Consider the following 5547-nt stretch of genomic DNA (forward strand, 5'->3'; position numbering starts at 1 on the left):
TGAAACTCCCTGCCCTGTTCTGTTTCTCTCTGACCACCGGTGCATGCAGCCCCTGTCACATACCACCTGCTTGCTCAAATCAATCACGACCCTTTCATGTGAAATCTTTAGTGTTGTGAGTCCTTAAAAGAGACAGAAATCGTGCATTCGGGGAGCTCGGATTTTAAGACAGTAGCTTGCCGACGTTCCCAGCTGAATAAAGCCCTTCCTTCCACAACTCAGTGTCTGAGAGGTTTTGTCTGCAGCTCGTCTTGCTACAATACCACAATCTACTCTATCAGCTGTCCATCAAGAATTCAATGACTACTTATTGGTCAGTACTTTCTCTTTTGATGTAACCTAAAAATGAATACTTTGTTCCTGTAAAATGTCTCTTTCAAGATTAGATTGCAGAACTGGCCTATTAGATGTCATTTCCTTTAAAGCAAAATTATAATAATTTTTTGTATATATTTATAAAGTATTTGAATGCTTTTGTATAATATGATGCAAATATTCTATTTCATTTTAAATCTCATTTCAATTACTTTTTTCAGATTAACGCTATAAACCTGAGTGCATACGTGTGCATGAATACCTTTATATAATGCATTTATCCCAAGTTCTTACCTGCCTTCTTCCTCAAAGAAGATTTAGAATCTTGACTTCAAAACCCAACTCTTGGAGGCATTCTTCTCAACTCCTAAAACAACAGAATAAAAATTGGGTGTAAGAGACTAGAAATGTCAATTATGGGAAGAAGTGTTTACTTTTGAAAGACTAAATTCATTCTGAGTGCAGGATGATTACAGAAATAGCAAATTCCACACAGCTTGGGGTTGGGGCTGAGGAGAGGTATGCTGGAACAACCAAGGTTTTTAAGAAAAGATGATAGATGTGGGGGAAAGAAGGGCTGATCAAGAATTAGAATTTGTATACCTTTCATGTTTTGGGGGAAACACAAGAAAGAAATTGTTTTCTTTTGAAATTAGTTCAAGAGACGTAAACTTTCTAGTAGATGTAAGCATTTGATGTACATAGATACAGACGTTTTGTAAGAAAGGTGTACATCAAAAGTAAAATTCTGTGCCCTCTGACAGACTCAGTGGATCCTCCTCTTGGCCAAGGGGATCTCAAACCTGAAAAACATGTTTAGTTCATGATGGAAAGGAAGATCAGACATGTCTTATTGTAACCCCTGCCTTTTGGAGTTTATGCACAATTGACCAGCATTAACATTAAAAGACAGATGATGACACTGACAAAATGGATTATTTATAGTAATAAGATACCAAATTCCAACCTGACTCTGGTATAACATCTCATGACAGATAAAAGGTCATGAAAAAAATCAGAGTATTTTACCCCAAAATATATTTCTTTGAAATATGTTGAAATTGCCCTGCAAAGGCATCCCTCATGTGGGAAATTGCATTCTATAGAGACTCTACTTCCCTTTCTTGGTCTTTTCTGAATCCAAGAGAGATTTAACTAAGGCTTTAACACCTTTTAAGATCCAATAAGAGAAATTTACCATTTATTCTCTCTGAAGCCGGCTACTTAGAGGCTTCATCTACATAATAACAACCTTGGCTTCCACAACTCCTGTAATCTTAATGCAAACATTTCTTTCTGCTGATTTAATGAGGCAAAGCTTAATTCTTTGAACCAATTGCCAATCCAAAAGTCTTCAAAGCCACCTATGTCCTGTAGCCTCTTTCACTTTGAGATGTCCCCCCATTCCAGGCTGAACCAATGGATCACTTACACATATTGATTTATGTCTTTGCCTGTAACTCCTGTCTCAAAAATGTATAAAACCAAGTTGCAACCCATCCACCTCCAACACATGATCTCAAGACTTCTTGGGACTTGAGAGGTATGGGCCATAAGTCACTCATATGTGGCTTAGGATAAATCTCTTTAAATATTTTACAGAGTTTGACTTTTTTGTCAACAATGGATTTTCTAAATTAATTAATTGCTTCTTTCATAAATAAAAGATTAAATATCGAAAACTAATAACTGACTGCTTTCAAGATATAAACAAGCTCATACATTTGTGGAGGAATCCCTCTTGTGAGCATGGCTATTTTATGGTAGATTTGGGGTCAAGTGAAGAAAAGATGATTCACCCACTCCGAGTGGAGGACTTTAATGAATGTAAAGGAGAGAATGTAAAGGAACCAGTTCATACAAACTTTAAGAATACACAAGGTATTTTAGGGAGAACAGAGGGAAACACACACAGAAATAGGTAGTATGAGAACATGATTCTTCTCTGCTTCGTAATCGGTGTGTTTGGGTTATATTGTTAGGGGAAAAGGGTCCTGATCCAGACCCCAAGCCATGGTTCTTGGATCATGAGCAAGAAAGAATTCAGGGCAAGTCCATAGAATAAAGTGAAAGCGAGTTTATTAAAAAAGTAGAGAAATAAGAGAATGGTTATTCTATAGACAGAGTAGACCCGAAGGCTTCTTGTTGCCCATTTTTATGGTTATTTCTTGATTATATCCTAAACAAGGGGTGGATTATTCATGCCTTTCCTTTTTAGACCATATAGGGTAACTTCCTGACATTTCCATGACATCTGCAACTGACATGGTGCTGGTGGGAGTGTAGCAGTGAGGATGACCAGAGAACACTCCCATTGCCATCTTGGTTTTGGTGGGTTTTAGCCAGCTTCTTTACTGCAGTCTGTTTTATCAGCAAGGTCTTTATGACCTGTATCCTGTGCTGACCTCCTATCTCATCCTTTAAGTTAGAATGCTTAATCATCTGAGAGTGCAGCCCAGAAGGTTTCAACCTCATTTTACCCAACCCTTACTCAAGATATTTGTTGCTCTGGTTCAAAGGCCTCTGACAGTACTAGTTTGTTTCTGTTTTTGTTTTTTTTTTTTTCTATTCATATTGATTTTAGAATTAGTTCATAGATTTCTACAAAAAAAGTCTACTGGGATATTGCTTGGGATTGTGTTGAAGCTATAATATATATCAAATTTTGACAAATAGCGCTCTTAATAATATTAGGAATTCTCATCCATAAATATATATTTATTAATATTTAAGTCTTTAATTTTTCTTTGTAACATTTTATTTGTAGTATACAATTCTTTCACACCATACGTATAATCTCTTAGTATGTATTTTATATTGTTGGTGCAGTTATAAATGCATTTTTTCAATTTCTGATAGTTCATTGCTAGCATGTAGATATACAATGTTTGCACATGGATTATTAATTTTGATACTATGCTAGTAGGTTTCTAAAATAGAATTTATAGGATTTCTTATATAAATGATCAAGCCATTTGCAAATAAAAACCATATTGATGTATATTCCTTCTCGCATGCTTTTCCCACTTTGAGATATTGGCACACTCCATTGAGTGCAGGGTCAATATTTTCAGCCTTTAAATATGTGAAACTTTTCTAATGCATTGACCAAAAGTCAACTAAATGATAATTTCTGTTTTTAAGAGTCTTAAGATCTGTGGTAGTTTGTGATATAGTAATATCAGAACAGATTTAAAACAAATTGTTTTATTTTATGCCATACTGCACTCTTTAGAAGGCATGACACTATACACAATGCACATTTGAAAAATAGAGAGTTACCTCTGCTTTCTTCAAGGAAGAATATCTACATAAATTATTCAGAACTTTTTGCATGGGGGATTTGTTTATTCTCACTCTACTTATTCAACGATTTTTATGTCAGTATGGACTTAAGGTTGTTTATTATATACTTGGTGTAACACCTGCTAATCCATCTGCTCGTAACTAAAGGCACGCAACATATGCTTTTAATTGATTTGATAAATATATTTTAAAGAATGTCTTTAAATGTTCACTTATCATATATATTCTCATGATTATATTCTGGTGATGCATCCCCCATACACACATATACATAAATTTCTGATAACTAAGAAATTTACCTTTCTTGCCCTTATCTAATGAATTTTCACTTGAAATATTAAGGGGGTAAGGAAAGAAGGAGTGATGAAGAAAGATAAAGGAAGCCAACACCATAGTATTTAATTGGTCCATTAGGCAACTCATTCCTTCACCAATTTCTTAGCAAACCCAGGTGATAAATAGTTAAATTATAACTTATGAGATATATTACTTAAAACAAAAATCCCGGCCAGGTGCAGTGGCTCACATCTGTAATCCCAGCACTTTGGGAGGCCGACGGCGGTGGATCATGAGGTCAGGAGTTCCAGACCAGCCTGAACAACATGGTGAAACCCCGTCTCTACTAAAAATACAGAAATTAGCCGGGTGTGGTAGCTGAAGCAGGAGAATCACTTGAACCAGGGAGGCGGAGGTTGCAGTGAGCCAAGATCGCACCACTGCATTGTAGCCTGGGCGACAGAGCGAGACTCCGTCTCAAAAAAACAAAAACAAAAATCTCTAACCCAAATTAACCTTTTAACTTTTAAGCAAGTCAAGGTTTACCAGACTAATGATAAATTCAACTTCAGTCATACGTGGAATTCGTTTTCTCTGTCTTTTCTAGAAATAATTAAGAATGTTATTTATATTCACACAGTTTATTTTTTAAATGGCTCTCTTGTTTCCATACACGATGGGTTTTTATGTCAAAATAAAATTACTACAAAATTTTAATATGCCAAATACAGACTATATAAGCACCTGAATTTTTTAATTCTTAGTTCTGTGTCTTTGTTTCACCTAACATTTTTAATCATTAGTTCTGTGTCTTTGTGGATTTTGCTTGAAGTTATGTGCTTTAGATGACATCAATTATTTTTACTTTTACGTTTGTGTAAACTAAGGTTTTAGCTATATTTAGCAGTTGTCGCTAACACATCTCCTTCTACAAAGACAATATCTTTTTATACTCCCTGCAAGGGTCAAACGAACTCAAACTTAACTAAACTAAATTAAACAACATGGAACATAGGTTTGTTTGTATCTACCACACAATGCTCTCCTTTTAGAATAGGTCTTTTAGTCTTATTTCTCTTTTTTTTTTTTTTTTTTTTTTTGAGACGGAGTCTCGCTCTATCACCCAGGCTGGAGTGCAGTAGCGCGATCTCAGCTCACTGCAACCTCCGCCTCCCAGGTTCAAACAATTCTCCTTCCTCAGCCTCCTGAGTAGCTGGTACTACAGGCCCCCAACACCACACCCGGCTAATTTTTGTATTCTCAGTAGAGAAGGGGTTTCACCATATTGGCCAGGCTGGTCTCGAACTCTTGACCTTGTAATCCACCCACCTCAACTTCCCAAAGTGCTGGGATTACAGGTGTGAGCCACTGCACCGGCCCTCTCTTCTTTTTATAATAATATTTGCTTTTTATAGTTGGGCTAATAAAATTGAAATTCAAAAAAAGAATTAACTATTTATGTAAAACCTCACCCTTTTTTCCCTCTCTGATAACCAAGAGCTTGTGCTCTCTGATAAAGTAGTAGCATGCACGTTTTCTCCCCACGCTGTGTCCTCAGAGGTTTACTGCTAATTTCCAAAGTTGCTACCTAATAGGAAAGAGCACAGGACTCCCCAGCCCAGACCACCAATTATGTTGTATAACATTAAT

The 5547-nt window shown here is 36.1% G+C and overlaps 1 annotated feature.

Moving 5' to 3' along the window:
- Window positions 317-486: an enhancer, noted in NCBI's record as "experimental_61838 CRE fragment used in MPRA reporter constructs". NCBI's record gives its function as "activates a minimal promoter by MPRAs in K562 erythroleukemia cells, with activity observed for the non-introgressed 21:26011850 variant allele {active_cell/tissue: K562}" and the evidence as "EXISTENCE:reporter gene assay evidence [ECO:0000049][PMID:34662402]".

The sequence above is a fragment of the Homo sapiens genome, chromosome 21 (genome assembly GCF_000001405.40).
Source record: "Homo sapiens chromosome 21, GRCh38.p14 Primary Assembly".
In the NCBI taxonomy this organism is placed as follows: domain Eukaryota; kingdom Metazoa; phylum Chordata; class Mammalia; order Primates; family Hominidae; genus Homo; species Homo sapiens.